General features: G+C 61.2%; 1 protein-coding gene and 1 long non-coding RNA gene across 33 annotated transcripts in view, besides 3 other annotated features; one reads left to right on the top strand and one right to left on the bottom strand.

Moving 5' to 3' along the window:
• The window catches only part of BEGAIN (brain enriched guanylate kinase associated), a 50,271-nt gene that overhangs the window by 29,975 nt on the left and 5,970 nt on the right, over window positions 1-14,326 (top strand). For 20 of the 31 annotated variants that reach the window (NR_169571.1, NM_001385101.1, NM_001385093.1 and 17 more), the window contains 3 exons: window positions 10,781-10,942; window positions 12,377-12,443; window positions 13,478-13,585. Coding sequence is in view for 29 of the 31 variants with exons in the window: in NM_001385093.1 (NP_001372022.1) it covers window positions 10,781-10,942; window positions 12,377-12,443; window positions 13,478-13,585 (337 nt within the window). In the remaining 2 variants the exon portion in view is untranslated. Of the gene's footprint in view, window positions 1-6,933; window positions 7,024-9,315; window positions 9,947-10,780; window positions 10,943-11,175; window positions 11,536-12,376; window positions 12,444-13,477; window positions 13,586-14,326 lie in introns of those variants that run through there. The other 11 variants (NM_001385102.1, XM_024449671.2, NM_001385085.1 and 8 more) reach the window with 4 other exon arrangements.
• Window positions 368-5,148, bottom strand: LOC124903384 (uncharacterized). 2 transcript variants are annotated; one of them, XR_007064337.1, is made up of 3 exons: window positions 4,967-5,148; window positions 1,153-3,708; window positions 368-531 (listed from the first exon to the last, which is right to left on the bottom strand). It is a non-coding gene; the product is annotated as an uncharacterized LOC124903384 (long non-coding RNA). The 2 variants fall into 2 exon arrangements; XR_007064338.1 differs by lacking the exon at window positions 368-531 and adding an exon at window positions 4,038-4,129 and having other exon boundaries at window positions 3,225-3,708; window positions 4,967-5,040.
• Window positions 395-1,151: an enhancer, noted in NCBI's record as "H3K4me1 hESC enhancer chr14:101022629-101023385 (GRCh37/hg19 assembly coordinates)". NCBI's record gives its function as "activates a minimal SCP1, AML or CMV promoter by ChIP-STARR-seq in naive H9 embryonic stem cells {active_cell/tissue: H9 hESC(naive)}" and the evidence as "EXISTENCE:reporter gene assay evidence [ECO:0000049][PMID:30033119]".
• Window positions 1,152-1,907: an enhancer, noted in NCBI's record as "H3K4me1 hESC enhancer chr14:101021873-101022628 (GRCh37/hg19 assembly coordinates)". NCBI's record gives its function as "activates a minimal SCP1, AML or CMV promoter by ChIP-STARR-seq in naive H9 embryonic stem cells {active_cell/tissue: H9 hESC(naive)}" and the evidence as "EXISTENCE:reporter gene assay evidence [ECO:0000049][PMID:30033119]".
• Window positions 10,385-10,514: an enhancer, noted in NCBI's record as "active region_9041". NCBI's record gives its function as "activates an Ori minimal core promoter by ATAC-STARR-seq in GM12878 lymphoblastoid cells {active_cell/tissue: GM12878}" and the evidence as "EXISTENCE:reporter gene assay evidence [ECO:0000049][PMID:35858748]".

Here is a 14,326-nt window from a genome sequence, read left to right as displayed (position 1 = left end):
GAGCACATCGGGCATCACAGAGGGTCTGGGATCTGGACCTGACTCCCCTCCTGCCTCTAGCAGGGCAGCCGCCGCCATGGCGGTCATCTCTCAGCAAGCATGGCTTGTGTGCGTCTGCCCACTAGGCTCAGAGCCAGAGTCTCACATTCCCTGCCCCGATGCCTCCTTCCAGTCCTGGGCTCTGGAGGCCAATGCGCTCCCTGACCATCTCCTCTCTGTAGGTTCTGTGGCTGGAAGAGGCTGGCAGAGCCCGCGCTGGGATTGGGGGCCTGGGTTTGGCCCGCCCTGACTCGGGTGTGGCTGGAAGAGGCCGGCAGGGCCCGCGCTGGGACTGGGGGCCTGGCTTTGGCCCGCCCTGACTCGGGTGTGGCTGGAAGAGGCCGGCAGAGCCGGCGCTGGGACTGGGGGCCTGGCTTTGGCCTGCCCTGACTCGTGTGTGGTGCTTTCAGCCATGCAGCTACCCAGGGCCTGGGCTCTTCCTCTACAATCCAGGTTGGATGGAGATCAGTGGGGACAGCAGCGGCCTGTGACCTGCAGAGAGGGGGCATGGAGGGATGCCCAGGGACATAGCCTGCTGCCCCGGGCGGCTCTGCCCCACCCACCCTCGTCAGAAACCCAGCTGTCCCCTCACTAGGGGACAGAGTCCCCAGGCCTTCACCCTGCAGGCCTTTCCTGAAATCGCAGCTGGGAGCTCAGAGCTGGCTGGGCTCTCCTCGGGCACCTCCAGTCCTGCAGCAGGCACTGGGTCCCTGACTGGGAGGAGACAGCCCCTGTGCCCTGATGAGGAGACAGCCCTTGTGCCCTTGCACTGTAGGGCTGGGGTGAGGATGGAGAAGAGGGCTCCTGACCCAGGGGGGATGTCAGGGAGCCCTTCCTGGAGGGGGTGAACAGAGTGAACCAAAGTTCAGGGAAGGGCACGCTCTGAGCAGGGGGCAGCCTGTGCCAAGGTCCAGGAGTGACTACAGCCGTCCCATCTCCCTGCCTGGGTTGGCCCGCTTTGCCCTGGCCCTGGGCACGCGCTGGGTCTGCCCACCCTCCGAGGGCTCCCCAGGACATGGTGTACCAGCTCCCAGCACGTGGTTCTGCAGAAAGAGGGGGGCAGCGGGGCAGGGCTGCGGCTGCCTGATAAGATGAGGTGAGATGAAACATTACCTGCTGCATCCTGACTCCAGTCTCCAGGCAGGAGGGAGCAGTGGCGCGGCCAGCCAGGTCATCCCGGAGTCGAGGATCCAAATGGAGAGGTGTGGCCAGTGAAGGAGGGGGAGGGGAGGGCAGGGGAGCAAGACGGGAGGCCTTGAGCCCAAATCCACACCGTCAGGGTGGCCCCAATTGAGCTGGTGATGACCAAAGCTCACTCCTCTCCAGGCCACCCCTCCTGGCTGAGGGACCTAGCTCAGCACCGTGACAGTCCCCTCCCTCACTACATACACATAGGCCTACACACCACGTACACACACACACACGCACATGCATGCATGTGTCTTTCCCCCAGGGGCAGCTGCACAACAGCCAGCGGCCATGGTGATGACATTCAGAGTCCTCTCTGTGCGGGTGGAGTCCCAGTATCACTGCAGAGGTCAGCCACGGGATTGCCCAGGCCTGGGCGGGCACGGCTAAACCCAGAGCAGTGCCAGCAGTGACCAGTTGTCCTGTTGGACTCCGGGGCCACCGTGGTCGACCCTCTAGCCACACGGAGGCAGAGGGCAGCTCGTCATAGTTGTCTCGCTGTGCGGGAGACACGCACCAGGATGGCTAAAGCGCTACTATTTACATTAAAATCTGGCATCTCAGTGTGAGGCTGGCCTAGAATGGAACCCCAGCCGGGCTGTGTGACCTCAGACAGGCCCTGTTCCTTGAGCGCTGTGAACCTGTTTCCTCATCTGGAAAACGGGGTGGGGTACACACCTCCCTTTCGGGGGTCTGAGGACTAAATGAATGGGTGCACACGGTGGGCAGGGGCTGGGGTGCCCCCCACCTTCTGTTGGAAGTGGTCTGCTGTCGGCTTCCAGGCCACACAAAGGACAGAGTCAGCGCAGCAGGAGCAAGTTGGAGGGGACAGAGAGGCTCTTCTGAGCCATGAGGAACGAGGGTGGCCACGGGCACAGGGAACACAGGCCACCGGCACAGGAGAGGCTCCGCCAGGCGAGGCGATTCTGCCCACCCAGCCCGGGTTTCCACAGGGCTTGTTGCTGCTCCTTTGATGGAAGGCTTGGGGCACAAGGCCTTCTGCAGGGAGACCCCAGACGGCCCTGGCGGGGGGCAGAAGCAGCTCTGCGAGGACTCGGCCCTGGGCCCGTCAGAGGCATCCCAAGGGTCTGATGTGGGCTTCCTCCAGGGGCCAACTGTAGGTTCTGCTGGGAAAGACCAGGCGAGGTCCGAGCAGCTTTGGGGACAAAGACCTTCTCCCAGGGCTGATATCAATTCACTGGAGGCTGAGAGGGTGAGCGTGTGACCCCCCTGCTCAGCCTGGTCCTGCTCTAGGCACTGAGGGGTGCAAAGGCAGGCTCTCAGGGGCATGTGCACAGCCCGAAGGCCAGCGTGCCTGGCGGGAAGGTGGGGGGGGCCAGGAATGGCGAGGCTGGGGCTGTGGCGGGTCCCTGGGGACAGGAATTTGGGGTGAGGAACTGGCCTTTTAGTCTTGGTACAGAGAGGAGTTGGGGCAGCTCTGAGCCAGGGTAGAACATAGTCTGGGTCTAGAAATGAGCCATCTGGGGGGAACTACAGTTTTGGGGGCCAGGGTGAGAACAGGAGACCTGGCACTGCAACACTCAAGGACAGGGCTGGTGGGGAGTGGGCTGGTGGGGAGTGAGGGGCAGCAATTGACCTCATCCAGGGCAGGGTGGGGTGAGCTGGGGTTTCAGGCCCCCTCAGGTGCTACGTGGAGAGGAGTTAACCTGGAGCAGCAGGGAGGAGTGAGATCCTGGCAGAGGGGACACGGGGACAAAGTCACAGAGATGAGAGCCTGGCTGCCTACAGCCTGGAAGGGAGGAGGAGCAATTTAGTGTTGCCGGAGCATGACACTGTGGGGCCAGGCTGAGAGCCACGACCGAAGAGGGAAGACAGAGGCTGTGCCCAGGGCGTGGCGGGATCCCACAACACGCCAGGGGCACAGGGTGGGAGCGGCTCTCGGGCCCTCGGCTGACTGTGCAACAGTGACAGCCGCAGCCCAGCCCCACCCCACTGTCGTGACGTCAAGTGGGAGGATGGGAGCCAGGCCTCCCCCGCAGCCTCCAGGAACCTGCTCAGCGCCCTCTGAGCTCCGGGCTCCCATGTCCTCAGCACACCATGGAGCTAGAAAGGGTTTCCTCCTGACACCAGGGGCCCTGGAGCTCATGTGACCGTCCTCCCCCAGCCCGGCAGGGCCCCATGGGCTTCAGGGGAGCAGGAAGGGCATGGGCCCGGTGGCCCCCCGTGACGGAGGAAGGACAGCAGGATGACAGAGGCAGGGCCCTGGGGCTCCAGCCCTGACCCTAAGTGGACGCTTACCTGCTCCACTGAAGTCACCCTGTCTGAACTCCATCAGCTGCACCAAGACTTGTAGGGCAGTGGGGAGCCAGGGAGCATCCCACCTGTTTGGACGCGCCCTCTGGCTGTCTTGTGGAGTGGGCTTGCTGGAGGCAGGGCCAGCAGAGAGCCCAGCAGAGAAGGGAAGCAGTATCCCAGCAGGAGGGTTGTCCAGCACAGGCAGTCCAAGGTGAGGGGAGGCACCTGGAGAGGAAGAGAGGGACCTTCAGCAGGGGGAACCGAGAAAGACTTCCTGGAAGAGGTGGCATCTGAGCAAAGCCTCACAACAGAGGAGAGGACCTGGGGACACACAGAGAAGGGAGACGAGGACATGTCCAGGGGAGAGGACAGCATGGATAAGGGTCTGGATGGGTGTGGGGGCAGCCACATTTGGGGGAAATCTGAAGGCCTGTATGGGACAGTTGTCCCTCTTAGCAGGGGCGAGAAGAGGCATCAGGCCTATCTGGCTTGAGGCAAAATGTCCTGTCATTTTTCCTGGGGGCCAGGAGTATGGTGTTGGGGTGTGGCCAGACCTGGCTGTCACCGTCTTCCTCCCCTCTTTCTGCCCTGGAATGGGGTGGGAGCAGTCACAGCGTCCCACAGGTGGCCACAGGCTTTTCTGCATCTGTAGGATGGCGGCAATTGTGGCATCCCTCTCAGGGCTGAGAGGCGGCGGGAGGGGCATCTCACCAGTGAGAACGGGACACAGGTGCACCTTGTGGTCCATGCCTGGTGCATCCTGAGCATCCCGTTCTCCTTCCCCACCCGTCAAGGACCTGCAGCTGGTTGTGCAGCCCCTTCAAGCCCTTCCCTGGGGGAGGAAAACAGGCGTCTGTTGACAGTGCCGCCCCCAGGGTCCAAGTCCTGAGAGGAGATGTGCCCTGGAGGCACGGACAAAACCTGCCCAGTCTCCTGTAGGGCTCCAGGCCTCCTGGAGTCATCTCATCCTGAGACACACAGGGCCCAGGTGGCAGCTGCTCCCCACGTGACTACACCCATGTCCACAAAGGTTGCCAAGGAGCACCAAGGCAAGGTCTCTTGGCAGGTCAGCCTTGGTGGCCCAGGCCAACCCCCAGTCCATCCGTCTGCCCAGCAGTCACCAGGTCCTTCTGCTGGTAGGAGCAGGAACGTGGTTCCATGCACCCAGCTGGAAGTGACACTGAGACAGGTCGTCCCTAGGGACCACGTGCTCTACTGGCTCCCGCTGGGGCCATCGCTGGCTCTGCTGACAGCCGGGCCAGGAAACCAGTGGGAGGTGGCTCATTCCCCCTTCCACGGTCCCACAGGTCACGGCTCCCCTGCTCTCAAAACACTTCGGCAGGCCTCTCAGCAGGGCAGCCCTCCTGTGCCAGGCTCTCAGCAACATGCCCCTGCCCACCTTTCCTTCGAAGGGGAGTCCAAGAAAGGGGAGGGCGGCAGCCCCGGCAGGGCCCAACAGCCCTGGTTCTTGCCTGGTCCTCACCGAGGCTTGCTTTGTGATCTTGGGCCTGTTGCTTAACTTCTCTGGGTCCCAGTTTTCTCATCTCTAGGATGGGATGCCCTCCACGCCACAGGCTGAGAATGAGAATTTCCATCCAAGTGTTGTTACCTGGCTCAGAACCAGAGCGGGTCACCAGTGATGCTCAGTAAATGTCCTGTGAGAGACCAGAGTCAGAGCCTGGGTCAAGTCACAACCATGCCCCCCACTCACTGCACCTGCAGGCCAGCCCCACCCCTTCCCTGGGCCTCAGTTTCCCCTGGGTCCCAGTTTCCCCTGGGTCCTAGCCTTTCTACTCTGAGCGCCTTCATTCTTCAGTAATCCCACCTACCATAAGGCCCCCTACAGATGGGACCTGTTGGGGTGGGGTCTCCTTGGCAAGGGCTGGGAGGAGGAGGCCCATGGGAATCGCTGGCCTTGGTCGGGCCATGAGGGCAGTTGTTTCTGGCAGCCTCGAGCGAACGCACTCATCCCATCCTGTTTTCTGTTCGCTCAGCAGCACCGGGGTCATTTGCTGAGGGTAGACCTGGGACCGGAATTCCAAAGTCCTGTCCAGCCAGAGGCCAAGCCCACCGCCCCGACCCACTTCCCCTTCCCCACCATGCGCTGGGGCATCAGACCCCCGCCCACTTCTGCAGAGCAGCTCAGGAATCCAGTGATCAATGTGCGACTCGTGGCCAGTGCCAAGAGCTTTTCCTGACCTCTGCTGCCCCCTCGGCCTGACCCATGGGTGCTAATGGTGACTTTTGGGGTGGGGGTACCAAAATTTGATCTTTAGCAATTTTTTTCTCTGATTTTTCATCCTCACTGTAGAAAATATGACACATTCAGAAAAGTATAAAAGAAAAATGTTAAATTATCCAGCATTTCACCACCCAGGTATAACTACATTAACATTTCTTTGCTTGCCTTATTGTCCGTGGCTGTCCGTATGCAGTTATTTTTTCAATGGGATTATACGGCTCTTTTTCTGAGCACGCCCATCTGCCTGAATCTTGAAGCACTGTTTGAAAGCCAGATTTCTGGGGCAGCATCAGAGCCTTATTGATGGAACCAGCCCCTCTAGGCAGAGGTTGGATCTCCTGCTTTGGCGCAGGGTGAGCAGGGCTGCCCGGGCGTCTCTGCGAGCCCTCCAGCTGATCCCCAGAGAGAACCCAGGAGGGGGACAACCAAGAGGGCACTCGTCTGGGCGCTGTGTCCTCCAGCAGGCCAACACCCTAGCAGGGCCGGGCCGGGCCCATGTCCTTCCTCACACCCATCTGTCCAGCCCACATAGGCCACAGGCAGGGGCAGGGGAGCAGGGGCCCCGGGGCAGGGTGAAGTGGACCCCGGATCCCTAACATCTGCCAGGTCCCACAGCCTACAGGAGACCATACAGCAGCCATCAGGGCCTCCTCCTGACCCGCCAATCCTGCACGCCAGGAACCCAGCCCTGCAACAGGCAGGCACCCGACAGATGCAGAGCTAGTAGGGAGGGGGAGCTTGCACCCATCACTCCCCTCTGAGGTTGAGACAATGGACCAGACCCCACCTGTGTCCTGTGAGGCAGGGCTGAGGGTAGACCTGCCGCTCTGCAGGGAACAACTGACTTCAGGGGCTGCTGCTGCGCCCCCCGCCCAGTGATGGGACAGGATGCTCAAAAGAGGCACTGAGCGAGTGACCAGTGACCCTGCCATGGTGGGACTCAGTGCCACCGCTGAGCTGGGACCCTTCAGAGTGAGGAGTGAGGGCTGGCAGGTGCAAGGCTGGGCCCCCTTCTCTGGTACCCACATCCCCAACCCCTGCTACTTTGCAGATGACAAGTTTTCCTGGCAGGGGGTGGGGACCAACTCCCCATCTCTCTCGGTCTCAGCCAAGGGGCTGTGGCTGTGCCCCTGATGGTGGGCCACGCATGGCCCCCAGCCCTGCCCACCCCGGCCTGTTCTGAGCAGCTCTGTCCTCTTTGCCCACAGGCTGCGCAGCCCCTGGGTGCCCTTGTGCCTCGGGCAGCCCCGAGTACTGCAGGGCCGGCTGGCCAGGTCCTCGCCCTCCATCTGGGACAGGTAACATACCTGTTGTCTCCCCCGGCTCCCTGGTGTCTCTGCGTCTGTCCCCAGACATCTGTCCCGTGTCTGTGTCCAACTCCCCGAGACAGATGCAGAGGCCCAGAAGGTGAAGGTGAAGGCGTGGGCCGGCGGCACAGCCTCACAGCCCTCAGCCCAGCATCCCAGCCAAGGGCTCCTTCCTTGGGCTTGGACCCCCTGCAAGTGGCCAGAAGGGGCTCTCGGTGGAAGGCAGAAGGGAGATCCCTCGAGGCCCCACCATGTGCCAGGGGAGCTGGGCACTCACCCCAGTCCAGGGAATTCCCACAGGCAAGGAGGGAGCCAAGAATCACGTGCGCACGCACACGCACACCACACACACGCACACGTGCACACACACTGCCGGTTAGCCCCAGATTCTGGTGTAACTCACCAGGCAGCAAGCCCAGCAGGGCCCCCCAGGCCCCCAGGCCTGGAAGGGTGGCCCCAGCCTGGAGGGCGTGGCCCTGGCGCTCGGAGCACCACAGCCCTCCCTGTATGTCTGCTAAGGAGCTGTTTCCAGACGCTGGGGACTCCCTGACCCATCTCGGCCCTTGCCAGGACACCTTTTCACCCAGGGCAGGGGACAGAGGCCTCTGAGCCACAGGCCTCCAGCAGTTTCCCCCAGATTCCCAGTGGCCTGGTGGCCCCACCCCACACAGTGCCACCTCTTGACATTGTCCACTGTGTGGAGGGTGCTACTATGTAGAATGTGGACCAGCAACAGCCCTGCCCCCGTGTCTGGGTGCACCATCCAGTTCTGCAGATGTGGAGACAGGCTGCCGTGGCAGGGCTCGGGTTATTGCCCGGTGTGGGGAACACTGGACAGGGAAGGAGGTACTACCCGGGTGACCGCAGACCCTAGGTACACAGCCTGGACTGGGCAGAGGGGACACGTTCAGAGGTGTGAGAAGCTGAACCCCCAGGACTTAGTGACAGGGCTGTGAGGGGTAAAGAGGGGTCACCATGCCCACCCCCCGGGTGGGGAACGTGGAGGGCAGTGAAGGTGTGGTGGATGTGGCTGCATTGGACGGGTTGGGTGTGGAGATGCCTGAGGGCCATAGGTGGGTGGCTGGACGTGGTGAGGGTATGGAGCCTGACAGACACCCCGCTGGAGTCAGATGGAAACCTGGGAGGGGTCCCTGTGCAGCTGGCTTGGAGGGGATTTGGTCTGAGCATGCAGGGCAGGGGTGCAGGTGCAAACCGGGGCCCCAGGGAACAGCCCGGGCGAGGTCGGGAGGGGCCTGTGGTGTGATCGCCGGACCAGCAGAGGTGGGGAAAGACGTGGCAGGAACCCTGGGGCGGCCAAGTGCGGGGCATCAGCTATGCCTGGGGACGGGGTGCGTGTCCATGGCCCGATGCCTGCAGCAAGCGGACACTGAGGCAGAGAGGGGTGTGAGAGTCAGGGGCTGGGGGCACTGCTAGCCCAAAGATTGGTTGGGTGTAGCAGGTGGTTGGGTGTGAAGGACTTGGGGAGGGGGAGCAGTATTTAAGGGCTGGTGGAACAGGGAGTTGACTGCTGTATCTGGAAGGCCATCCAAAGGCCAGGGGTAAACTGAGGCTCTGTGAAGCTGCCTGACTTGTGAGATGTCTGCCCCGAGCCCACCCCATAGCCCCTTCGTCCTCCCCTCCCACACCTGCCCCGTGGAGAATCCCTGCCTAGCTCATTGTCTGCCTCCCCTCTGGACCGCAGGCTCCCGGGGCAGGGGCAGGGTTTGTCTTACTCCTGGCTGTGAGGTCTCAGACAGGTTGCTTGCTCTGAGAGGTGAGGGTAGGGACCTCAGGGTGCCCAGAAGGGGCAGGGCTGGGTGAGGGGGCACAGTGAGCTAGGGGTGCAGGTCTCAGAATAGCAAGGACCTAAGGCTGCTCAGTGAGGCCTGGGGTGTGGCTGGAGAAGGGGTGAGGACTCGGGGCTGAGGTGGCCACGTGGGTGGATGGATGACGCCCTCACCTCTTCCCGAGGGCTGTGGGTACACCAGGAGCCCCTGCAGGGAACAGTCGACTTCAGGGGCTGCTGTGCAGCCCATTGTGCCTGCCCTAGGAGCCCAGGATGGCATAGGAGTCCCCAGGAAGTTCACCACCTCCCTGGGGAGGACAGGTCTGTGTGGGAAGCAGCCTGGGACCTGTAGCTATAGAGTGCTAGAAGTGGGGCAGCCACGGAAGGCTGCCTGGAGGAGGTGGAAGGAGGCCTGAGCACTGTCCCAGAGAGCGCTCCCGGAGGCAGACCCACGTGGGCAGCTGTGGCACTTTGCCTCAGGGCTTCCCTCTTTGCTTGTTACTCTACTTCCTCTTGTGGTGACTGACTCTTGGGAAGACCCGCCCTGCCCTTCTCTGAGGTTCTCAAAAACGTAAGCGACGCTTTATTTTTATTTGTTTTTAAAAATATAGCCCTGGGCAGGAATCCAAGAGTGCTTCCTGGAGGCTTGCTGGGTGTGTGCCCGCAGTGCCACATGCGGTTTACTCACGGGGCCCAGACAGAAGATGCCTCTGCTCGGGGCTGGGGGACAGTGGTGGCCCCAGGGGGACTGGGAGCCTCCTGCCTGCCCTCTACTCCCCTCGCTTGGGTTTGGGTCGGGAATATCACAAGAACGCGGGCTTTTGCCCAAGGTCCCACAGCACATCTGGGCAGAGTCAGGGTTCCAGGCCCTCTCCCACACCTCAAGTTTCCTTCATGACACCCGGGACTTCTGCCTGTCCCGTCCCCATCTCACAGCAACACAATCCAAAAGATGTTGGTCCCAGATAGCCCCTGGGCTGTGCACCCATTGCAAGGAAAGAACTGCTGGCTGCTGACCCCACTCTGACCCAGACAACCGGAAGTGCAGCCCCTGCCTTGGGGAGCTCCGAGCCATCCCTGTTGGAGGCCCCCACACTACCCTCCTGCCTTTGCACAGCTTTAGTTCAGGTGAATTGTTGGCAGGTGGCTCGGAAGAGTGGGTCATAGTGGGTCTCTGTTTCCTGAGCATGTGGGGCTCTGCATCCTGGGGTCCTACCCTCCAGGAGACCCCATTCTGGGGGAAGAAAATAGAGCCTCAAGAATTGTCTGGGTTTCTGGAAGGCTTCCTGGAGGAAGGGGAACTTGAGCAGGCCAGGACCTTGCCAGGTTTCCCGTGCTGCATGCAGCCTCATTGGCCATGGTGGCAGACACTGCCCGGGCATGGGACATTGCCACCAAACATCTCTCTGGCCCAGAGAAGTGACCCAGGGTCCCAGGGCCACACAGCCATTTTGGGGAAAGCAGGTCTGGTCTTGGGCATGGCACTGCTGACTCTGGGCCTCAGCCATCCCAACCTAGCACTGTGGAGGAGCAGGAGTGAGGGCCCCAGTCACCTGTGCCACCCAGGGCCAGCTCTGTGATAGCCTGGGTGCTGATGGGTGCTCTTTGTACCTGGGTCCTTTAAACCGCCCCCAACACACTGGCCAGGTTCTGGGGTCAAAGACTCCTCCAGCCACCACCTGGGATTTACCTGTGTGAGGGACACTGGTGGAGTCTGAGGAACCGCCCAGGCCAGACTGGCTCAGGGTCAGAGTCCCTGACTCTGGGGCGCCATGGTCTTCAGTGACGCCCGGGAGGCTGGGTGTGTGTGAGTGTGTGTGTGTGTGTGTGTGTGTGTGTGTGTGCGCGCGCGCGCGCGCGCCGGTACTCGCGTGTTAGTGCGGCACGCCCCGGCTGGCCTGCGGGCCTTAGTTTCCCCCGCTCAGCGCCGCGGCCCGGCCCGCCGCCGCCATGTCGTTGCAGCGCGCTGCAGGAGCAGAAGGGCGAGCTGCGCAAGCGGCTGTCCTACACCACACACAAGCTCGAGAAGCTCGAGACCGAGTTCGACTCCACGCGCCACTACCTGGAGATCGAGCTGCGGCGCGCGCAGGAGGAACTGGAGAAGGTCACGGAGAAGCTGCGCAGGTGAGGGGCGGGGCGAGGGCCGGGGCGGGGCGAGGGCCGGGGCGGGGCGAGGGCCGGGGCGGGGCGAGGGCCGGGGCGGGGCGAGGGCCGGGGCGGGGCGAGGGCCGGGGCGGGGCGAGGGCCGGGGCGGGGCGAGGGCCGGGGCGGGGCGAGGGCCGGGGTGGGGCAGGGCCCGAGGCCCGGAAAGCCGCACGCGGTGCTCCCCTCTCACCCTGGCTGTTGACTCCACTCAGATGGGGAGTCCAGAGGTTCTGGTAGGGGAAGCTCTTCCTCCAAAGTCACACTATGGAGCAGCTGAGCCAGGATTTGAACCCAGCAGATCTCCAGACCCAGACTGGTCCACCCGGGGCCCAGCCATGGTTCCCTGGGTCCTGATGGGAAAAGCTGTGTCTAGCCCGGAGATGAACCAGTTTAGGGACCCTTCCCTTGAGCGCGTACGGGCTAATGAAGTGTCGATCCAGTTGTGCTGGACTCCCTCAAACACCAAACTTTTCTAAAAGCAGTTTTCTTGTGCACATTTAAAATGGATGTTTTTCTGAAATGTAATATGCACTTTCTCATCTTCTTAAACAGAAAATGCAAGAAGCATGCAACCTTTGCTGTTGGCTTGATTTGTTTTAGGTATTTGTAGAGAATCGGCTGGTGTTGCCCCTAGGGAGGACTTGCCATAGGGAGAGGGTTTGTCCCTCTCCGAACAGCCCCAGCTCCTGAGTGTTTTGAATGTCACCCTCCATTCATGTGGAAACCAAGCTTGGGCAGTGCAGTCAGACCTCAGTTAAAATCTGGGCCCTGCCAGTTACTGCTTTAAGTAATTAAAGTTTCACCTCAGTTTCCCTATTGGCAAGACAGGGGCCATAACACGACACATAGGTTGTCTGAGGCTGGACACCATCCCCAAGCCCCCTCCCACCAGCAATGGAATCTCCAAGCACCTGATTCCCACCTGACACTCAGCTCCACTCCTCCTACCCGGCAGAACCGAGTCTTGTTCACTGTGATGTCTCCAGCCTCACCCTGGGGCCCATCACATAGTTAGTGTTAAGTTTCTTCCCTGCTCATTTGCATTTGAACTGTCAACCCCATAACAGGTTTGTAAGAATTGTGGGTCAAATGTGAGTAAACTGGCTCCGCGTGTGGATGGGACAGAGTCTCTTGTGAATAACAAGCCTTCCCTTCCCATCTTCAGGGGGTCCCGGGGTGGAGGGGGAAATACAGTCCTGGGCCCTGGCCTAGGAAAGGCTTCTACAAAAGTTTGCTTTAATGGGATGTTCTCTGCTGTGTGCAGAGGGGCACACATTCCACCAGGGTGAAGCTGGTGGGGTGAGCTCAGGAGGTCCAAATTCAGCCCCACCCTGCTCAGCAGGCTGTGCGGCCATAAGGGTCGTGGGAGGGACAGGCCTTGCATGGCAGTGACCCCCTTGCCTCCTGCACCAGGATTCAGAGCAACTACATGGCACTGCAGAGGATCAACCAGGAGCTGGAGGACAAGCTGTACCGCATGGTGAGGCCGCCACGCAGCGCCCACTCCCCCACCCCACACCTCCTTCCCGGGGGGAGCCACCCAGCTGACACCCCTGGGCCACTCAGGAGCTGGGACACAGGTCTTGCTGGTCCCACCCCTTTCTCCATGGAACATGTGGAGCAGGGTGTGTGCTCTCAGGCTAAGGAAGTACTTGGGTCCAGGGCTGCCCTGTGCTGCCTGAGTGGCGGGTGCGAGCACTCCAGCCTGGGGGTGTGTAAGAGGGGCTGTGGACGGAGGACATACACTGGGAACGGGCCCCCCAGCTCAGCCTGCCAGTCCAAGGACCTGGGCCCAGGAGGATAGGGAGGCCCGAATTCAGGCCCTGGGTGAGCCAGAGGCAGGTTTGAGCCCCAGCTCCGCCTCTCATGGGGACCCCTCTGTGGGGACCCTCACACCACCTGCAGGTGACCTCAGTGGGGTCGCCATTTTCTCTGTGAACACACTGCTGGGACATGTCGAAGAGGGGCAGGGTGTGGGTTTCTGGTGCCACTCCCTCACTAGGATGAAGAGGTTTCCTTTCTTTCTACTTTGGTGACCAGCTCATTTTGGTTTTGAAAGCAACAACCTGCCCACCTTTGTGGTGCTATCAGAGACGGGGGGTGGCAGGCCTGGGGGCTGGGCCTGGCTCTGCCTGGGTGCCTGGACACCGGCCCTTTCCTGAGCCTCAGTTTCCCAATCTGTCCAGTGAGGTGGGCTGGGCTCTATGCCAGGCACAAGTCATCTGTCCTCCGTCCCCACTCCCAGCTCCTGAGGCAGGACGCTGTCACCTCTGTGTTGCACATGAGAAACTGAGGCTCAGAGGCAGTGACGTCCCCAAGGCTGTGTGGCTTGGCAGTGTTGGACCCAGGAATTGAACCAGGGTCTGTCTGTGCTCATAAACCCCACACCCTTGGCCCTCTAAGTGTCTTGTCACTCATGGCTACAAGGGACAAACCAGGGGGTGCAATCGAGCGACTGGGTTGGCTCACCAGGAGCCAACCACGGGCCTCCTCCTCCCACTGTCCCACCCCCAGGGCCAGCACTATGAGGAGGAGAAGCGTGCGCTGAGCCACGAGATTGTTGCCCTCAACAGCCATCTGCTAGAAGCCAAGGTGACCATCGACAAGCTGTCAGAGGACAACGTGAGTGCCGCACACACTTGGCCCATGGAAGACTGCCGGTGGGCCTAGGCGAGGGCTTCCCAGGATGCACTGGGAGTCACATTCTGACTCTGAAGGGTCCTGAGCTCAGCTGCTTTGGCCCCAGCCTCAAGGGGCTGGTGCAGGGTACAGGTGGATGGACAGGCTGGTCAGGGCTTTGAGAAGGACCTGCTGCAGTTGGGGAAAGATGGTGCTGTCTCATTGAGGACGCCAAGGGTGTCCTTAAACAGACCCTCTGCTGTAAGGACTTGAGCTAGGGGATGCGGGGCCATATTATCCCATTCAAGGCAAGGCTTCCTGATCCCAAGGTGGGGTCATGGCCACTCAGGACTCCTGCCCTTGGCCAGTCCCAGTGTTGCATCACAGCCGTGTGGCTGCCCATGGGGCCTAATTTCAGGGACCCTGTGAGATGGGCCCAGTTGCCCTCCACAGACCCTGGACAGCTGCCTCTGCATTCACGAATTAGCTTCTACCTTGCCAGACCCTACTAGGCTCCAAGATGATGGTGTGAACAACACAGGCAAAAAAAAAAACAAAAAAAAAAACACCTCTGGCCACGTGGAGTTCACATCTGAGTGGGGCAAACTCTGGGGTATGTTAGAAGTGTGAAATGCTATAGAGAAACAGAAAGCGAAGAACGGTACCAGGGAGTCGCCAGCTGCAGGGCCTGCAGATTTCAAGAGGGTGCTTCTGGAAGGGGCTGCTGTGCCAGGACCTGAGGGA

This window comes from Homo sapiens, chromosome 14, assembly GCF_000001405.40.
Source record: "Homo sapiens chromosome 14, GRCh38.p14 Primary Assembly".
Taxonomy (NCBI): domain Eukaryota; kingdom Metazoa; phylum Chordata; class Mammalia; order Primates; family Hominidae; genus Homo; species Homo sapiens.
The sequence above is the reverse complement of the archived record's forward strand: the minus strand, read 5'-3'. Positions and strand labels throughout refer to the sequence as shown.